Source organism: Homo sapiens, chromosome 10, assembly GCF_000001405.40.
Source record: "Homo sapiens chromosome 10, GRCh38.p14 Primary Assembly".
NCBI classification, from domain to species: domain Eukaryota; kingdom Metazoa; phylum Chordata; class Mammalia; order Primates; family Hominidae; genus Homo; species Homo sapiens.
In genome coordinates, this window is record NC_000010.11 from 115,221,398 (window position 1) to 115,243,530 (window position 22,133).

General features: G+C 33.4%; 1 protein-coding gene across 10 annotated transcripts in view; it reads left to right on the plus strand.

Moving 5' to 3' along the window:
- Nucleotides 1-22,133, plus strand: part of ATRNL1 (attractin like 1) — an 855,635-nt gene that overhangs the window by 128,033 nt on the left and 705,469 nt on the right. For all 10 annotated transcript variants that reach the window (NM_207303.4, XM_011539587.2, XM_011539588.3 and 7 more), the window contains one exon: nt 20,174-20,328. In NM_207303.4, the coding sequence (NP_997186.1) occupies nt 20,174-20,328 (155 nt within the window). The remainder of the gene's footprint in view (nt 1-20,173; nt 20,329-22,133) is intronic.

A 22,133-nucleotide genomic window follows, 5' to 3' on the forward strand; every position in this document is an offset into this window, starting at 1 on the left:
TAGATAGGGCACTTTGTTGAGATACTAGGAAATGTGTTTTGAGGACTTATTCTTTTTCAGTGGTGAAATGAATTCTTTTGGACTGTTACTTCCCCTGAGAAAAATTAGGAATTTTATTTGCCTAAAGCATGAGAGAACTATCAAAACCATGAGAATTTGTCAGAGATTTAGGAGAGGTACAATGTCAAGGGATACAAGACAGGCATTTTGTGTAATTTTAACCTTGAGACAGTTAGAAATCCTGGAAACCTCCTGAGACACTGAGCAGTCCTTTTGTCAGCCATTACAGAGGAACAAAATTAGATATCCAGATGTGCCAAGGAAGAGGAGCCTTGGTACATACTTAAGGATTTAGTCTGGCCCCTGAGATTCTAAACCCTACTCGTGATAATTAGCCCACCTTTGAATCATCATAATCTTTTATTAGATTATGGTGAAATGCCCATAATGTAGTTAGATGGCAACATAAAAAGTAAATACTTTATTGAGTGAGATAACATCATATGGAGGCTTAAAGTATTTCTTCTATATATCATATACAATATCTGGCACAAACTAAAAAAAAAAGCTCGGAAGAAGATAAGATACGAAAAAACAACATCCGTTAGAAACATACATATAGGATAATGGAGTGTTTTAGACACAAACTTTAAAATAATTATTGTTATGTTCAAGGAATTAAAATTTAAGGTAGAGAATATTAGGACAGGCCTGGATACTCATACTTATGAATCAAATGGAAATTCTAGAACTGAAAAATACATTGAGTAAATTAAGAATTCCTTGGATGGAAATAACAGCAGATTAGACACAGCTGAAGGGGGAAATATGAAATGGAAGAGAGATCAGAAGGAAACATCCAGAAGGAAGTAAAGAAAGACAAAATGATGACCAAAAAAGGACAGAAAGAAATACAAGGAAGATGTGGAAATTGTCTAACCCACATGTGTAATTGGAATCCTAAAAAGAGAAGAGTGAAGACAAATGTGTAACATTATTTTAAGTGATAATGAATAAGAAATTTTCAAAAGTGACAAAGACATCAAGCCACAGATTAAAGAAGTTCTGTGAGCACCAAGGGGCATAAGTACAAAGAAACTCAGAAATATTATAGTAAAACTGCTGAAAACCAAAACATGAAGACAAAAATTTCAAAGCAGATAGAGGAAAAAGGGCATATTTCCTTTAAAGGAAAAGCATGAAGACAATTAATTTTTTAACTGAGGAAATGGGATCCAGAATACATGTTTTCAAATAGCTTAAAGACAATAATCATCCATCTAAAATTCTACATAATTAAATATTCTTAAAAATGTAAGCAAAATAAGAGCATTTTTAGAAAAACAATGACTGAGATAACTTGACAGTAGTAGGCTTTCGATAAAGGAAATACTAATTACAATAAGTGCTATTGAAGTAGAAGAAAAATGATCCCAGATACTGGATGGAATGTAATGAAATTATAGAGATGATTCTAAATGACTATCATATAAAGCTATAGTAATAATAGTGGCTTGCATATACACAAAATTTAAATGCATGGTCCTAATAGCACATAAGTCAGAAAAGGGGTAAATTAGTGTTAAAAAGTCTGAAAGTTGGTCGGGCATGGTGGCTTATGCCTGTAATCCTAGCACTTTGGAGAGCTGAGGTGGGCAGATCACTTGAAGCCAGGGGTTCAATACCAGCCTGGCCAACATGCTGAAACCCCATCTCCACTAAAAATACAAAAAATTAGCCAGGCATGGTGGCATGTGCTTGTAGTCCCAGCTACTTGGGAGGCTGAGGCACGAGAATCACTTGTACCCGGGAGGCAGAGGTTGCAATGAGCTGAGATCGCATCGCTGGACTCCAGCCTGGACGACAGAGACTCTGTCTCAAAAGACAAAAAGAAATTCCAGTTATACTAAATGTGACAGATTAAATATTCCAGTTAAAAGCCAAGAATTTTTGGATTGGATATAAAAACAAAACTTAGCCATCTGCTGCTTAGAAAAGATAAACCTTAAATAAAAATATTTAGAAAAGTTGAAAGTAAAAGGAAGGCATAACAGTTCTTAATTTATATATAATTTATAACAGTGTTGAAATAATGTAAAATTGACCAAACACAAGAGACAAAACATAGTGAGATGTTTTTAACCCAATTTTCTTGGTAACTGGTAGTACCAGGAGACCAAAAAACCGGCAAGAACATAAAACATTTGAATAGGACAATGAACAATTTTGTCTCACTTGATATTTGAGAGCATAATACCTTATAATTGAAGCATATACATGGTTTCCAAGAACAAAGGAACTTTCCCGGAATTTACTATATTCTGGGTTTTAATGCAAGTCTTAACAAATTTAAAAGGATTAAAATAATACAAATTAATTGACCACAGTGAAATAAAAAGTAACTTTTTGGTGATTACATAAAAATAATAAGAAAAACCCTAATATATATGTGTATATATATTTATATATAACATATGTGTATTTAATATATGTGTGTGTGTGTGTGTGTGTGTGTGTATATATATATATATATTTTTTTTTTTTTTTTTTTTCTTTGAGACAGACTCTCACTCCGTCACCCAGCCTGGAGTGCAGTGACACAATCTCAGCTCACTGCAACCTCTGCCTCTCAGGTTCAAGCAATTTTCCTGCCTCAGCCTCCTGAGTAGCTGGGACTACAGGCATGTGCCACCACGCCTGGCAATTTTTTTGTATTTTTAGTACAGATGGGGTTTCACCCTGTTAGCCAGGGTGGTCTCAATCTCTTGACCTCGTGATCTGCCCACCTTGGCCTCCCAAAGTGCTGGGATTACAGGTGTGAGCCACCGCGCCTGGCCAAAAAACCCTAGTATAATTTTCATACTGAAAATTTTCATACTTAAAATTACTGAATGATGACACATCAAAATGCATGTGATTCAGCTAAGGAGGGGCACTTATAGATCTAAATGCATTTATTAGAAATGATTTTCTAAAAGTCTGAAAATCAGTAGTCTAAGAATCCCCTTGAGAAGTTAGAAAAAGAACAGCAGACTGATCCCAAGAAAGGATAAAGAAAATAAAGATATAATAAAGGAAAGGAACATGAGATAAGAGCATGAATTAATGAAATAGGAAACATGTGATAGAAATGATCCATAAAGCCACCAAAACTCGACAAAGTTGGTTGTTTTTAATAGTAATAGATAAATCCCCACACAGACTTAGAAACAAAGATTACTTAAATAATCCATGCCAAGAATGAAAAGGGATATCATGACAGATCACATAGAGATTAAAAGTTAGTAAGAACATATGATAAGCGACTCTATGACCGTAAATTTGAAAAAGTAGATGAATTATGACAAATTTCTAGAAAAACAAAACTTACCAGAATTGACACATACATGAACATTGAAATAATCTTATGTCAAATAACTAGAATTTTTAATTGAAACCTTGTTGCCTCAAAATACAGAAGCATACATACAGATGAACAAATAAAAACAAAACAAAACAAATTCTCCAGGCCGTGATCACTTTACTGGTGAATTTTCCCAAATATTTAAGAAATAAGCATTTAAGAAATAAATAACATCAATCTTTCACAAACTTTCTGGAAACAGAAATAATTATGTTGAGATTTATGAGGCCAGCATAACCTTGATATAAAAATATGAAAAGGATGTTACAGGTAAGGAAAATTTTAGTATTGTCTTTTCCATGGACGATTCCAGCAATTTAGAAAGAAAATAATAGATTATTTGGGTTCATTCAAAGAATATAATGTTACTTAAAATTTATAAAATTTGAATAATTAAGAAAATAGAGAAGTAATGGTCTATAATCTTGAAAGATGCAGAAAAAAGTATAGATAAAATTTATCATGTATTTATGATAAAACCTCTGGTGAACTAGGAATGGAAGCAAATCATTTATGTGGTAAAATGTACAAGGACACATGAAAACTTTACTGCAAGCATTATGGTGAAATAGAGAAAGCTTTCCCTCTAAGATTGGGAATGGGATAAGGGTGCTCGCTGTCACCACTTTTATTCAACATTGTATTGGAATTTCCAGCCAGTGTAATAAGGCAGATTAATATAATATAATATAATATAATATAATATGTATATGGGTAATCAGTTGCTGCAAATAACATCAATATAAAAAATTAATCCAGAGTAATTCTGTATACCAGGAACAGTTTAAAACTGATAATTTAAAAATAATATAATTTATGTCACTGTCAGAACATTAATAACCTAAGGAATAAATCTAATGACTTATGTGCAGGATCTTTACACAGAAAACTATAAAACCTTATTGTGAGAAATTAAATAAAATTTAAATATATCTCAGACCAAATTATGACAATTGTTTGAAAAACTCAATATTATGCAGATGTCTATTCTGCCCAAATTGATCTGTAGATTTAATGTGATCCCAAACAAAATTTTAGCAGGTGTTTTTCTTTTGGAAATTGACATGGTGATTCTAAAATTTATACAAAAATGTGAAGGGTAATTTTTGTATAAATTTTAGAGTCTCCGTGTCAATTTCCAAAAGAAAAACTTTAGAAGAACAAAGCTGGAGGACTTTTCTATCCAAATTTTAGAAGAACAAAGCTGGAGGAGTTCTCTATCAGATCTCATCACTTATGATTTTACAATAATTAAGTGTTGTTGCAAAGACAGGGAAATAGACTAATGCAGCAAATAGAATTCCACAGACAGACCTATATATTTATGGGCACTTAATCTATGACAAAGGTGGAACTACAGAGCAGTCTTTCTTAATAAATTGTTCTGGGCCAATTGGGTGTACAATTGGAAAAAATGAATATTAAGCCCTACCTCACATCATCATAAACAAAGATCTGTTTCAGATCAATGTTAGATCTAAATGTGGAAGTACAATAATATTCTAGAAGATAACAGAGGCAAATATCTTCATATTTATGAGTAAAGAAAGATTTCTTAAATGGAATTTGAGTAGTTTTATTAGTAAAAGAAAAATGATAGACTGAACTATATTTATATGTCTAAAAAGTCAGTAAGAACACAAACATGCCATGCTCATGGATCAGAAGAATCAATATTGTAAAAATGGCTATACTGGCCAAAGCAATTTACAGAATCAGTGCTATTCCTATCAGACTACCAATGTCATTCTTCCCAGAATTAGAAAAAAAAAAACTATCCTAAAATTAATATATAACCAAAAAAGAGCCCGAATAACCAAAGCAATCCTGAACAAAAAGAACAAAGCTGGAGGTATCACACTACCTGACTTCAAACTGTACTATAAAGCTACAGTAACCAAAACAGCATGATACAGGTAGAAAAATGGACATGTAAACCAATTGAACTAAATAGAAAACTTGAACATAACGCCACACACTTACAATCATCTGATCTTTGACAAGGCTGACAAAAGCAAGCAATGAGGAAAGGACTCCCTATTCAATAAATGATGCTGGATAACTGGCTAGCCATATGCCAAAGATTGAAGCTGGACCCCTACCTTTCAACATATACAAAATCAACTCAAAATGGATCAAAGATTGAAATGTAAAACCTCAAACAATACAAATCCTAACAGACAACCAAGGAAATAACTCTTCTTGACATTGGCCTTGATAATTTTTGGCTAAGTCCCCAAAAGTAATTGCAACAAAAACAAAAATTGACAAGTAGGACCTAATCAAACTACAGAGCTCTTCACAGCAAAAGAAACCATTAGCAGAGCAAACAGACAGCCTACAAAATGGGAGAAGATATTCTCAAACTGTGCATCTGACAGAGGCCTAATATCCGGAATCTGTAGAGAACTTAAGTCCACAGGCAAAAGACAAATAACCCCATTAAAAAATGGGCAAAGGACATGAACAGACACTTCTCAAAAGAAGATATACAAGTGCCCAACAAACATGCAAAAATGGTCAACATCACTAATCATTAGAGAAATGCAAATGAGGTATCACACCAGTCAGAATGGCTATTTTTAAAAAGTAAAACAACAACAACAACAACACAGCAGATTCTTATGAGACTGCAGAGAAAAGTGAATGCTTAGACATTGTTGATGGGAATGAATGTAAATTATTTCAGCCACTGTGGAAAATAGTTTGGAGATTTCTTAAAGAACTGAGCTACCATTTGACCCAGCAATCCCATTACTGGGTATATGCACAAAGGGAAATAAATAAATCATTCTACCAAAGAGACATAGGCACTTGTTTGTTCATTGCTGTGCTATTCACAGTAGCAAAGACATGGAATCAATCCAGGTGCCCATCAATGGTAGATTAGATTAAGAAAATGTGGTACATACATACCACGGAATGTTATGCAGTCATAAAGAAGAGTGAAATCTTGTCTTTTGCAGCAACATGGATGCAGTTGGAGGCCATAATCCTAAGAGAAATTAATGCAGGAACAGAAAATAAAATAAATCAGACATAAAAGAAAACAGTATATTCTTCTATTGATATAAAGTTCAGCACCAGGAAAAACAGAATTATGGGCTTAGAAGTTATGATAGGGATTGCCTATGATTGTGTAGTATTTGAATGAGTAGCAGCAAAGCTTCTGGAGTGGTTATGTGTTCACTTTGTGATAATTCATTGAACTATACACTTAAGATTTTTATACTTTTGGCATATATATTATACTTCATAAAAATTTATAAAAAAATAGAAATCTGAGTTCAATTTGACTTCTTATATGCTAAAAGATTATGATAATTTGACATACCAAAAGAGGGTCAATTTTTTATGTAAAGTTAGCAAATTACGTTTTTATTATCAGTGTTAGAAAAGAATGGAGACATAAAATTTCAGTCATTTCTGCTATCCCACTCCTTCAGGAGTAGTTGCATCTGGTTTCGTTACATTTAATAAGTAAGAGAGAATAAACATCTTGAACTTATAGGAGTTCCTGTTGCTCAAAAATGATTCCTTTTATGTTTTTGGTATATTTTGCTGATTCATATTATCTTTGCTCAGGCACTTTAACTTTGGTGTAATGATTTTGAATATTGGGGTCATTGTGATCTTCATTTTATAGCCTTGTTAAATGAGGCATCTCATAACTTTCTTTGCATATGTTTGTACAACTTATAATGGGAGCTTATGTCTTCATTATTTTTCTATGTGAAGACTTTTCTCTGATAGTGGAGACCTCAGATTTTCTTGGCCTATTGTTTAGGTCTTTTCTTCAATTGTTGTATTCCTTTAGCCTGTGAAAAAGCACAGTAAGTTTTAACACATAAGGAATTTATTAAACTTTACCATTTATAACTTTCAGCTGTAATTATCAACTTTTTATTTTTATTTTTATTTTTTTCCAGTGAGGGAAAAAAGACTTCAATTATATTTCTTTCTTTCTTTTTTTTTTTTTTTTGAGATGAAGTTTCGCTCTTGTTTCCCAGGCTAGAGTGCAGTGGCACAATCTCGGCTCACTGCAACCTCTGCCTCCCAGGTTCAAGTGATTCTCTTGCCTTGGCCTCCTGAGTAGCTGGGATTACAGGCACCTGACACCACGCCAGGCTATGTTTTTGTATTTTTAGTATAGATGGGGTTTCACCATGTTGGCCAGGCTGGTCTCGAACTCCTGGCCTCAAGTGATCCACCCACCTCGACCTCCTGTAGTGCTGAGATTACAGGCATGAGCCACCATGCTTGCCCAACTTCAATTATATTTCTACAGATATTAAAAAGATAGGTAGTGAATCTAATGGTAATGCTTCTGTGGTACAAATTAATTCTGTACTTTTAAAATGTCTTTCTAATCACATATACTTAAAAAATGTTTTCATAGGCCACACCTGGTTACATGAAATGATTTAATCTAGCTTCAATTTGATATAATAGAAGTTGTTTTTACATTAAAATATTAAAAACTATGTTATGAAATTATTTTTTTTTGTGATTTCTCTAAAAAATTTCCTGTCCGAGGTTTTGGAAAGCGATAGAGGTTAATTTTATAAATTATGTTATTATTTAAAACCCATTTCAGTAAATACTGATGAACATCAGCATTTTTCTTTCTCTGCTTACTGAGTGTCTGAAATCTTTTCAATGAAAATTTTGTTGGCTCTTTATCAAGTCCTGTTTTGGAAATAATCCTAAGTAGTTCTCAGTAAGGGAGATTGAGAATTTAAAATTTAATTTTATATATTTATGAGGGAAATAATAGAAATATATACGCACACAAGCACACAAACATATAGTTGCGAAGTAAGATATCAGAGATTTATTAAAATGAAAATAAAATGTTTATACAGGCAAAAAGACTATTATCTTTAAAAACATCATGATAAGAGATTTGGAATTTTGGAATGTCTGGTTAAAATCCCATATTGATAATTTAAATAAGTACTTATCTCTGTAGCTTTGCTTTTCACAGTGATTAAAAAATTTGTAGTACTTATTTTTTACTAGTTCTCTTTTATAAATTGGGAAATATCACATATGGACAAAAGACTGTATGATAGTATGTATATATAGTTTCAAAACCATAATAAAATGAATTCCCTGCCTACCTGTGCTAAGAAAGAGGACATTACAATACCCTAGAAGCCCCCATGTGTCCCTTTATGATTGTATCCCTTATATTATCCCCCTCCATTATTCTTAATATTGTGTTATTTCCTTGCTTTTCATTGCATGTTTTTACCCTCCATATATGTATTTGCCAGCAAACCTTTCATTTAGTTTTTCTGTTTTTAAATTTTGCATAAATTGTTTATCATTGTATGCTTTCTTCAGAGATCTTTAAAAAGTCAGCTTTATGCTCTGGAGATATATTTTAATGGAGAGAGGCAGACAATAAATATGGAAATAAGTAAAATGTATTTTAAATGATAATAAGTGCTATGAAGAGAAAAGAAAGCATGGAAGGAAGATAGAGAGTTTCAGATTGTTGCATTTAAAAAGAGTGGCCAGAGAAGACCTCATAAGACATCTTAATAAAACCTAAAGGCGATTAAGGAGCGAGCCATGCAAATATCTGGGGGACAGGTGTTCTAGGAGGAGGTCCAGCTAGTGCAAAAGCCTTGAGATGGGAACATCCTTGTCATCTGGAACAGCAAAGGGGCTAGTGTAGTCGAATGTCTTGGAGTAAGATGGAAATTATCTTCCCTTAGAGAAATAACTGGAAACCCAGTCATGTAGGGCCTTAGAAAACATTATAGAGCTTTTACTTTGGTATGGGTAGACTTTGAGGGTTTTGAACAGATATGTGACTTATCTGACATATGTGACATGCTCTGACTTAGATTTTTACAGGAGCGGTGTTGTAATTACGATGCAAGAGCAGAAGCAGGAAGACCATTTAGGAGGCTATTTTAATGATCTAAGAGGGAGATGATGGTATCTGGAACCATAGAGGCCAATGTGAAGGTAGTGAGAATTGGTTGGATTCCGAATATATTTTCAAGGTAGAACCAACAAGAATTGAAAAAACTAGGGGACTGGATATAGAGTGGATGAGAGAGAGAGAGAGAGAGAGAGAGAGAGAGAGAGAGAGAGAGAGAGAGAGAAAGAGAGAAATAGTGAAAGATGAAGCAGGCATTTGGCTTGAAGACCTGAAAGCATGGAGTTGGCATTAGTTGGGATGATGAATTTTGTGGGAGAAGTAGGTTTGGTGTCAGGAAGAATGGAAACTTGGTTTTAGACACGTTTAATTTGAGGTACATACTATACAGCTTGTGGATATGTTAAATAGGTGGCTGGATGTAGGAATTTCAGGATCTGGACACTCTAATTTTCTGGTCAAAGAGATGAGGAGAAACAACCAGAAAAGGAGACTGAGAATGAGCAGTTAATGAGTTAGGAGGAAAACTGGGAGAATATGGTATTCTAGAAGCCAAGAGCATATTTCAAAGGAAAGAGAATTTGTCAGAAGCTGCTGATTGGTAAACTAATATGAGGATTGAGTAATGGTCATGGAATCTGGCAAACCAGTGCTTTTTGCTGAACTTGACAAGAGAAGTTTCAGTGGGTGGTGAAGTCTTGATTGGCATGTGTCAAATAAAGATGAGAGAAGAGGAATTAAAGAAAAGTACTAACAACTTTTTTGAGGAGTTATAAGGAAAGGAAAGAAACAGGGTAACAAGTGGTAAGGGATGTGGGACAAGATATATATATTTTTAAGTTTGGAGAAATAATTATGTTTGTAGGTTGACAGGAAAGATCAAGAAGATGTAAGAAATGATGCCAAAAATAAAGGGAATAATTTGCTAGAGGGATGTACTCAAGAAAACAAGTAGCAATGGGATCTAGTGAACAAATAGAGTGGTAAACCTTACCTAGGAAGAGCATGGGCACTTTATTCATAAGAACAGATATGAAGTCAGGTTATTTGAATACAAATACAGGTAAATAAGTAGAGGTGGAGAGAACTCTTGAAAATTTTGTTTCTTTTTATTTTCTCAGTGAAGTAGGAAGTAGAGTCATCACTTGAGGGTGAGAATGAGGGATAGTGGAAGATTGAGGTTTGAAAAGAGAAGTATGAAATCATTTAGGAGGGAGGGAGAGTGAATGAGTTAGGGAAGTGTAGTAGGATCCTTGGCAGAATTTTCCCATGTGAGAGACCCTTAATGTGCGAACGCAGAGTCTTTTTATATTTTCTGCCTTACTGTGGATGCATACTGGAATTGTCCTTAGTTTTTACTATTATGAGCAATTGTAGCAAAAATATTCTTATTTAGTCTTCTATTGTTTCACGACAGTTTGTCTAAGCTATTTACTTAATAGTATAAATGCTTGTTCATGCTCTATTTTACCCAACTATACTCCAGCCTCATCTTACTAATTTGCACTTCTACCAGGGGTGAATGACAGTTCCCATTTCTTCTCAACAATCTCATTAAGGTTTGATGTTTTTTCATTTTTGAATATTTTTTGCCAATATGGTGAGTATAAAATGGTGTCCTATTTTGGTTTTAATTTGCGTTTCCTTAATTGCTAATGAGGTATAACATCTTTTCATATTTATTGGCCAAACAGCTACTCTGAAATTTTCACCCATATTGTCATATGTAGTTGTTTGTGTACCCTTTTTTGATAATAATTTTTTGTTAGTTTTATATTTTGCCAACATTTTATCTCTCAGATTGTGGATCATCTTTTTACTCTTTGTGTAATATTTGATAAGCAAAACTTATTAATTTTAATATAGCAGAAGTTGTCAGTATTTTATGGATTTTGCTTTGTGTCTTGCTTAAATAATACTTACTTACCTTAGTGTTTTCAATATTGCCTTCCACACATTTAGTCTTTAACCCAACTGGATAAGGACTTTTGTGTGTGTGTGTGTGTGTATGTGTGTGTGCACAACCAGAACTATAAATAGTGCTCCCAGAACTATTTATTGAAAAGTCCATTCCATTAGTGGTCTGCAATACTAACAGTTTTTTTGGTTAGAATTACTTCCAGGTGATTGATATTTTATATGCTTTTCTAGGTGAAATCTGTATTCATTTCCTATGGCTACTATAATAAACTATCATAGACTTGGAGGCTTAAAACAACAGAAATTTAGCTTCTCACAGTTCTGGTGGCTAAAAGTCTGAAATCCAGGTGTCAGCAGGGCCATTCCCTCTTGAAAGGCTCCAGGGAAGAATCCTTCTAGCCTTTTCCATCATTTGGCAGCTCCAGACATTCCTGGGCATACTTTGATTGTAGCTGCATTACTCCAGTCTAACTCTTGGACTTCATATGGACTTCTCCTTGTGTGTTTGTATGTGTCTGAACGTGGCCTTCTTGTAAGGACACCAGTCACTGGATTTAGGACCCATACTTGTTTAGGATTAGATCTATGTGATCTCATTTTAACTTAACTATCTGCAAAGACCCTATTTTCAAACTAAGGTCACACTCCAAGGTTCCAGGTGAACAATTTTGGGAGGACAGTATTCATTCAACCAGTACAATATCTTTTAATTTCTTTTTCTGTTTATGATCTGATAGACTGAAAGGCAATTGATTTTTTATTACTCTTATGTCTAACAGTTTGCTGTATTTTTGTAATTTATGTGTAGACTTTTTTAGCGTTTTTTAAATAATAGTTGATCAGATTATATACAAATAATGACAGTTTTGTTTCTTCCTTTCTGGGTCTTACAGCTTTATATTTTTCTCGTCTTACAATTTCTGCTATAATCTTCAGCTCATTGTTGAATAGAAGTGTGATAACAGGCATCTATTTTATTCCTGAGCTTTTAAAAAATGCTTTCAGTATTTCTTCACTAAGAATGATGTTCATTGTGGGTTTTTTAGATATCATTATAAAGAAAGGTCTCTTTTTTCCTGGTTTGATAAGGGTTTATATTATGAATGGATGCTTGGTTTTGCCAAAGGCTGTTTTAGGAATGACTTACTTGATTTTTCTACTAAATAATTTAATGTGGAATATTATTTTAATTTACTTTATTATTAACTCAACTTGGGTTAAATCAAACTTAGTCATAATGTATTATGTGTTTTTTTTAGTTTGCTAGTATTTTTGTAAGGATTTTTACATTGATGTTAATATGTGAGATTTGCACATGTTTTTTTTGAGATATTCATGTCAGCTCTTTGGTGGTGTTACTTCGGGCTTTTAAAATGAGTTGGGGAGTATTCTTTTTAATACTCTAGAACATTTATCACATGTATATATGTATATATTATTGGAATTATTTTTCCTATTTTAAAATAATAAACTTTGGGCCAACTAGGTCTGATGTTTTCTTCAGGGTGTAGAGTTTTAACTACTGAATTCAATATAATAGTTGTAAGAACATTCAGATGTTCTATTTGTTGTTGAGTCTGTTTTGGTAAGATATATTTAAAGGAATTTATCCATGAAACTGATATCTTCAGTTAAATTGTTATAAAGATGTTAATATATTCTCTCAGGATCTTTTAGTATCTGCAATATCTGTAGTTGTGTTCCCTTTTAATTATTTTTAATACTGCATTTATTTATATCTCCCTATATATCTATGTATTGTTTTTGAATGGAGTTGCTTACATGATGCCCTCTTAAGCATAAATATTTTAAAATATATTTACTAAAAAACAAAGATACTCTCTTACATAAGGATCAAATTTAGAAAATAACATGGATAGAATATTATAATCTAACACATTTAATTTTTTCAATTGTACCAATATTTTTTACAAATTATAACATTAAAATTGCTAGATTCGATTTTTTTCTTTTTCTTTTTTTTTTTTTTTTGAGACAGGGTCTCACTCTGTTGCCCATGCTTGAGAGCAGTGGTACGATCTCGGCTCACTGCAACCTCCACTTCCCAGGTTCAAGCGATCCTCTCACTTTAGACTCCCGAGTCACTGGGACCCCAGATGGGTGCCAGCAGGGCCGACTAATTTTTGTATTTATTAGGGACCGGGTTTTGCTATGTTGCCCTGGCTGGTCTCGAACTCCTGAGGTCAAGCCATCCGCCCGCCTTGGCCTCCCAAAGTGCTGGGATTACTGGTATGAGCCGGATTTGATTTCTTAATAAGTTTTCATGAATGTTCACATATGTGATTGGCCTGTGGTTTTCCCTTTTTATACTCTCCTTCTCAGATTTTGATACTTTTTTCCTTACTGAGTTTGGGTATCTTTTCCTGATCCAGGATTACATCCAGGAGCATGCAAACATTTAGTTGTCATGTCTTTTTAGTCTCCTTTAATTTGGAATAGTCATGATCTTTCATTTGAAGTCTGTGCCTCGTTTGGGTTTATCTGATGTTTCTGCATGATTAGATTCACATTTTGTATTTTTGTTAGGAATACCAAAATGTCATATTCTTCTCCCATGGCTGGTGAAGTTAAATTTTTGTGAAAAAACCTTTTTTATTGAGATAAAAGTCATAACATAAACTTCTTAATTTTGATCATTTAAAACAGTACAATTTAGTGGTTTTCAGTATATTCATAATATTGTGCAACTATTACCACTAGTTCCAGAATATTTCCATCAGCCCCAAAAGAAACCCCATACCTGTCTATTCTCTCTATCTCCATCTTCTGGCAACCACTAATTTAATTTCTCTCTCTCTATGGATTTGTCTAATCTGGATATTTTGTATGTATGGAATTGTACAAACATGGCCTCCTGTGTGTGGCTTCTTTCACTTATTGTAATTTTTTTTTTCCAGAGTTCGTCTGTATTATACCATATATCAGTGCTTCATTGTTTTTGTTATGACTGAATAATATTCCATTATCTCAATATACCATATTTTAAAAATCTATTTGTCAATTAATAGACATTTGGGTTGTTTTCACTTTTGACTATTAAGAATGAGGCTGCTGTGAACATTTCTGGAAAGGTTAACTTTTATATCTTGGTAAAAGTGGTATATTTTAGTTTTCTCAATGGTAAATATACTGTTTTTCCTTTTTAAATTACTAAGTGCCTTATTGGGAGATACTTTCAGATTATGTAAATATTTTATTTCTTGTTAAACCTTTACATAATAGTTTTAATACCCATTGATGATTCTCACTAGAAAGAGTTATTAGTATGATGGTTACTAAGTGCTTATATTTCATTATTCCTTCTTAGTCTCCCCAGTCTATATATTCATTTATATCAGTATGAATTCATGTATTTTTATTTTATTTAATGTTTTGTAATCAATTGCTATTCTTTATTCTGGTGCTTATATTGTCACAGATTTGCCTAGTGAGCTCCTTTCAATCAGGTGTCTGTATTCTTTAGATATGTCCCCATCATTCTTTGTGCACTCCTTTACCTTCTGCACAAACATTTGTCCCTGCCCTAGTGCTCGAATAAATCATTACCCTCAAGGAACCTAGGTTCCTTTTAGTGGAGAATGTTCTTTAAAAACTAAGATTAGAGAACTACGCATATATCCATTTATATCCTCTATATCCATTTATAGATCTGGGCATGTATCTGTAGCTCTACATATCTATCTGTGCTTAAATGCTGTCTGTCTAAATTGCATAATGATGCCATACAGCATTACAGGGATCATTTTTGCCTTCCCCTCTTTCACATTTGTAAATCTCTTCTGCCAGTGAGAAACTTGGTTTCCATTTTATGCTTCATACATTACAAAATATTTTTGTATGTGAAGTATGAGGAACAAGATTTACTTTTTCCATTTAATATACCATATCTGGTAAATCAGATGTAATTTTAATCCCCACATTTTTTGTTTGTTTGTTTTGTTTTTTTAACAATAAACTCTATGTTTTAGAGCAGTTTTAGTTTTATGGAGAAATGAGCAGAAAGTACAGAATGTTTCCAAATACTCTCATCTCCCCTATCCCCAGGTCCTCTATTATGTGTCTTACGTGAATATGGTACATTTGTTACAGTCAGTGGGTCAATGTTGATACATTACTCATTAACTAAGTCCATAGTTTATATTAGGTTCACTTTTGTGCTGTATATTCTATGGATTTTCACAAATGTATAGTGACATGTATCTACAATGATCATTTCATACAGAATATTTTAATTTTCCTAAAAATAACCTGTGATCCTCTTGCTTATCTCTTCCTCCCTCCAAACTCTTGGCAACCACTGATATTTTTACTGTCTCCATACTTTTGCCTTTTCTAGAATGTCATAAAGCTGGAATCATGTAGTATGTAGCCTTTTAATTTTGGCTTCTTTCACTTAGCAATAAGCATTTAAAGTTCCTTTATGTCTCTTCATGACATAATAGCCCATGTCTTTTATTGCTGAATTATGTTGCATTGTATGGAAACCATCTTTTGTTTATCCAGTTACCTATTGAAGAACATCTTGGTTGCCTCCAAATTTTGACAATTATGAATAAAGCTGCTATAAACATCTGTGTGCAGATTTTTGTGTGGACATATTTTCAACTCATTCAGGTGACCACCATGGAGTGCAATTCCTGGATGGTATGGTAAAGTTATGTTTAGTTTTGTGAGAAACTGCCAAAGTGGCTGGCTGTATCATTTTTCATTCCCAGCAGCGATGAATGAGAGTTCCTGTTGCTCTAGATCGTTGCCATCTTTTGTCAGCATTTTAGATTTTAGCTATTCTAATATGTGTGTAGTGGTATTTCACTGTTATTTTAATCTGCATTTCCCTGTGACATGTAATGTGGGATATCTTTTAACATGCTTACTAGACATAAATATGTCTTCTTAGAAAAGGTGTCTGTTCAGATCTTTTGCCTTTTTTAAAATTGAGCTTGTTTTTTATTGAGTTTTAAGGGATCCTTGTATAATTTGGATACCAGTCCTTTATTAGCTATGTGTTACAAATATGTTCTCCCAGACTGTGGCTTGTTGTTTCATTCTCATAACAATGTCTTTCACTGAGGAGAGGTTTTTAATTTTAATAGAGTCCAAATTATGACTTTTTTCTTTCATCATTTATGCTTTTGTTGCTGTATCTAAAATGTCATCACCAAACCCAGGTTACCTAGATTTTCTCCTGCGTTATCTTCTGGGAGTTTTATATTAAATAATTTTGCATTTTACATTTAGCTCTGCGATCTATTCTGAGTTAATTTTTGTAAAAGATGTAAGGTCTGTATCTAGATGATTATTTCTGTTATTACTACTGTGATGCCCTGTTGTTCCAGCAATATTTGTCCAATAGACAGTCCTTTCATTGTTGAATCGTTTTTTCTATTTTGTCAAAGATCAGTTGACCATATTTGTATGTGTCTATTTCTGAGCTCTCTATTCTGTTTCCTTGATTTATTTGTCTATTCTTTTGCCAGTCCCAGGGACTGACTTGATTATTGTAGCTTTATAGTAAGTCCCAAAGCCAGGTGATGTCAATCTTTGACTTTGTTCTTCTTCTTCAATATTGTGCTGGCTATTTTAGGTCTTTTGCCTTTACATATAAATTTTAGAATCAGTTTGATAAAAATTTGGTAAATTTATTACTAAAAATCTTGCTGGAATTTTGATTTGTATTACACTGAATCTGCATATCAAGCTGGGAAGAACTGGCATATTGCCAGTATTAGTTTTCCTATCTGTGTTCATGTACTATCTCTTTATTTATTTAGATTTTTGGTTTCTTTTATTGTTTGTAGTTTTCCTCATACCAGTCTTGTACATATTTTGTTAGGTTTCTACCTAAGTATTTCTCTTCTTTTGGTTCTAATGTAAATGGTATTGTGTTTTTGTTCTTGTTCACTGCTGGTATATAAAAAATCAATTGTATATTACCCTTGTGTCCTGCAACCTTGCTATGCTAGCTTATTAGTTCTAGAGGGTTTTTTTGGTTGTTGTTGTTGTTGTTGTTGATTCTTTGGGATTTACTTCGTAGACAGTCATATCATTTGTGAAAAAATACCATTTTATTTCTTCCTTCCCAATCTGTATATCTTTTATTTCATTCTCTTGTCTTATTGCAGTAGCAAGAACTTCCACTAAAATGTTGAATAGAAATGGTGAGATGAAACATCCTTGCCTTATTCCTTTTCTTGGAAGGAAAACATTGTTTCTCACCATTAAATATGATGTTTTTATAGATGTTTATCAAGCTGAGGTATTTTCCCTCTATTCCTAGTTTGCTGAGTTTTTATCATGACTGAATGTTGGATTTTGTCAATGCTTTTTCTCCATCTATTGATATGATCATATGATTTTCTTTGTTAGCTTATCGACATGATGGATTGAATCAATTGACTTTGAATGTTGAACCAGCCTAGCATACTTGGAATAAGTTCCACCTTCTTCTTCATTATATTTAAATTATCTTAGCTTAAATATTGCTCTACTAGAGAATATTTTGTTCCTTGATCCATATTATTTATTTACTGTCCACTAGATTATAGTATTTTCTTGTTTTGTAAAGAAAAATTAGAGACTAGAGATTATTTTATTTTATTTTATTTTATTTTTTGTGATGGAGTCTCACTCTGTTACCTGGGCTAGAGTGCAGTGGTGCGATCTCAGCTCGCTGGAACCTCTGCCTCCCGGGTTCAAGCGATTCTCCTGCCTTAGCCTCCCGAGTAGCTGGGACTACAGGCGCAGGCTACCACGCCCAGCTAATTTTTTGTATTTTTAGTAGAGATGGGGTTTCACCATGTTGGCAAGCCTAGTCTGGAACTCCTGACATCGTGATTCGCCCACTTCGGCCTCCCAAAGTGCTGGGATTACAGGCATGAGCACCGCGCCCGGCCGGGGCTGTATTTTTTCTTAGCCTACCTCTCCTCCTGGGGAAAAACTTCTGTGCTACTGCTTTGGAGTTGCAGGTGGGTGGGCTTAGTGGCCTGTTCCTCTTAGAGTGACACCACTACTTTATGTACAGAGCACTAGATGGGGATAGTAGTCTCTGGAGTCTTCTCAACTTGGCTCTTTCTGGATGCAACAGTCTGCCTTAGGAGTGAGGTGGGATGAAGGCTATTGGGTCCAATGTTGTTAGCCTGCTGGAATTAGTGTATAGCTACCACCCTATGAGTGGCAACTGGGCAGAGGAAGAGCACCCAGACCTCTCATGATCTTTCCCAGAACAGAGCTTCTGTAACCCAGAGCTGGAGGGAATGAGAAGTGCTGGTATCCTGCCACTCCTAGTGAGATATCGCTGGCCTGGAGTGGGAGTTGAGGGATGAAGGAGCCTTATGTTCTTGGCTTTACTTGCCTGGGGTAGAATTTCTATCATGCTGAATTGGTTTTGTGTGTGTGAGGCAGGCGTGAGGGGGTTGGGGTAAGTAATTATCTATTGCCATAGACTATTGCTGTTCTTTTTGAGTAAATGTTTCTTTATTTGGTGTTGCTCTTAGCAAAATTTTCTTAGGTTAATGGTTGCTTTTTATAATTTTTACCAATTATAGTTCTTTTCCTAGTGGGAGTGTTTGTGGAACTCCTCATGTTACCATTCTGTAAGTGAGCTTCATACTTTTTTCCTTTTTTTTTTTTTTTGAGACAGAGTCTCACTCTGTTGCCCAGGCTGGAGTGCAGTGGTGCCATCTTGGCTCACTGCAACCTCCGCCTCCCGGGTTCAAGCAATTCTCCTGCCTCAGCCTCCCGAGTAGCTGGGACTACGGGCACGTGCCACCATGCCCGGGTAATTTTTTGTGTTTTTAGTAGAGACAGGGTTTTGCCCTGGATCAAGCCAGGATGGTCTTGATCTCCTGATCTCGTGATCCACCCGCCTTGGCCTCTCAAAGTGCTGGAGTTACAGGCGTGAGACAACACCACGCCTGGCTGAGCTTCATATTCTTTAGAAATTAATTGGTATTATAATCCATGGTTTTGGAGCTGCTACATATACTATACTAACTATACTTTACGTATTAGCTATGTTTATGTATATAATAATTCTAACTTCTAATTGTTTGTATCAGGGCTTTAGAGTAGTTATTTAATATTTATTTATATTGTCATGCACCTTTACTACATATCCATTCATTCAGATCAGTTATAATTGTGAGCATATATTTATAATATTTTCTCTCAGAATTATACTTTAATTAAAAGAACATTTATATTAATTTTAATGTTTCACAAGATGCGTTGTAATTGTAATTTTTGATTACACAAAAAATATATATCTCAAATATATATATATCTTGAGCAAATGTACCTATTCATCAATGAGTGCAATCTATAGACTCCACTTAGGTAAGGTACAAAAACAGCAAATGAATTTATGCTGTTAGAATAGTGGTAATATTCTTATAGTTTTTTATGTGAGTGCTGATTACTTAGTTGTGTTCATGTTGTGAAAAATCATTGAGTTTTAGGCTTCTGATATATGCAGTTTTATGCATGTTATACTTAAATAAAATCTTAAAAGTTTATTATGGAGTCCATATGAGTTACACAGTTTTAACCAAATATAGTTTAGACTAAATTTACTATATTTAACTTTTTACTTATTTGGTATTTTAAAATGATGTTTTGGGCCTCTAGTTTTAAGATGGCTTGTTTCCTATCTTTGTAAATGAAAAAATAATTTATAATATAAATTATTATGAGTATTAAAAATTCTTTTTGATATTGTGTCTCCTCAAAGCATTTTAAGATGCTATGAGCCTCAAAATATTTTTTTTTGAAATATTGAAGTTTAGAGGTCATTTATAAATTGTTAAAAAATATGTTTTTTTCCCCCACAATTCCAGGGAAACCTCTATATGCAAAGTAGACCCTTTATATAACATATATAAAATCAGGGAGGTCATTTTATCCTTTGTAATACATTTTTAAATTTTATTCTGTAGGACTATTTTGAAAGAAAGTGGGTTTGCCAGATACCTTCATTCAGCTGTTCTTATCAATGGAGCTATGCTTATTTTTGGAGGAAATACCCATAATGACACTTCCTTGAGTAACGGTGCAAAATGTTTTTCTGCCGATTTCCTGGCATATGACATAGGTATGTATCTGTTAGGATTGTACAAAGTAGGAAATATCAGAAATTTTCCATATAGATATTCTCAAATACATTAATTGATAGCATGTGTATATGTCATTTTAGAGTTAAGTGATAGAATATGAATGGAATTCTTTCTAATTTCAGCACAGTAGTATTATAGTAATAGAGCCAGGAGAACAGAAGTACTGAGCAGAAGTAGTGGTAGATACAGGGAATACAAAAAGCTAGATTTGGATGTCCTTTTTGAAGACTTTTTATGTTGTTTCCCTTTGTGAACACTATATCAGTTTATTGTGTTTGCTACATATTAATTTTGATAATGGGTAGATATGGAATACTGTTGAATTATGTAAATTTTTATACATAGTAGGAATGTAAACATTTTAGATTTTAAGGGATAAGCAAAAATATATTAAACATTTCCGATATACTTACTATATATAGGAATCTGATAGAACTAGAGAAAGGAATAGAGATAGTAGAGCTAAAGAAATAAGATTTTGAGACGAAATGGAAACCCAGATGTATCTGGGAAACAACTATATAAGCATGTTTTCCCAAAGAACTAAAAACAGTTTGCATTTATACAATTCACCTAATTTTAGTTACGCAATATAATCCTATCAATTTCTGAATATTTAAGTGAATGTATTTATTGAAATACTAAATTTAGGTATCCAGTAGACCCTTGTAGTGAAAACATTGTTTTTCTATGTATCATATTATATATAAAACCTAGCTGATATTTAAAATATACTTATCAGTACTTAAGAGCACCTTTTATTGAGGGTATAAATAAAGTATTATACCAATTTGAAGCGATTAGGAAACATTTTTATAAGTAAAATAAAAGAATAACACATTTAATAGATGTAAGAAGTATACTTTTTCTCTTAAACCTCATAAAGGCACATAATCTGCTTTGGTAAATTATTTCAAGTAGAATCATGTAAAGAAAACTCTGACTATTAATAAGCACTTTAATCTTTTTACTATTACAGTTGTTTCAAAGGAAATTCCTAGTAGTAAAGTTAAGCATGGTTTTTAAATCTAAGTAATGAATGTCATTCTGTGATTAATCATTTGATACTAGTAATTTGATCTTTTTCTTTTTGAAATAATAATTTGAAGTGGTAACTCCTGACGAACATGGGATTGTCTCAGCTTTTAGGAGGCTCATGAATCATTGTTTGAAATTAGTAAAATGGGTTGAATGAAGTACTGAATCTAGGCTGGCAGTGACTTTATCTCATTGCTAGATTGGGCCTGTCAATATATTATTGTTTTGGCTATGGTGATAAGACCCTGGGCTTATTTTTCTGGAAGTTGATGAAAGTTTTGTTTGTTTGTTTTTCTTCTGGGGAAAAAAAATCCCACAAAAAGTATACATTGTTGTTGTCATTGTTAAAAATCCATGAAGTGGAATTTTGAACTTTTGCAAAAGGTTCTTCAAGGAGCTTCCACACAATGTCTGTACTTCAATGAAGAATTTAAGGTTGAGCTATTTTCTGGCTGACAAAATGGGAATGTATTTTTATTTTTTTCATATTGTTGAAGATTATGATATATCAAGTTTTATGTGTCAAAAAACTTAAGTGAAAAAATTTGGAGAATTTTGTTTCAGAAATAGAAAGATGTCAGATTATGATGATTCTAATTACTACTATTTATTTAATTTCCTTCTATGTGCTAGGTACTATGTTAAGTAATTTATATACAAAATCTTTAACCTACCTTGTAGCATGGTACTATTATCCTAATATTCAGAAGATTAAACAGATGAGAGTAACAGGAACTTGCCAAAG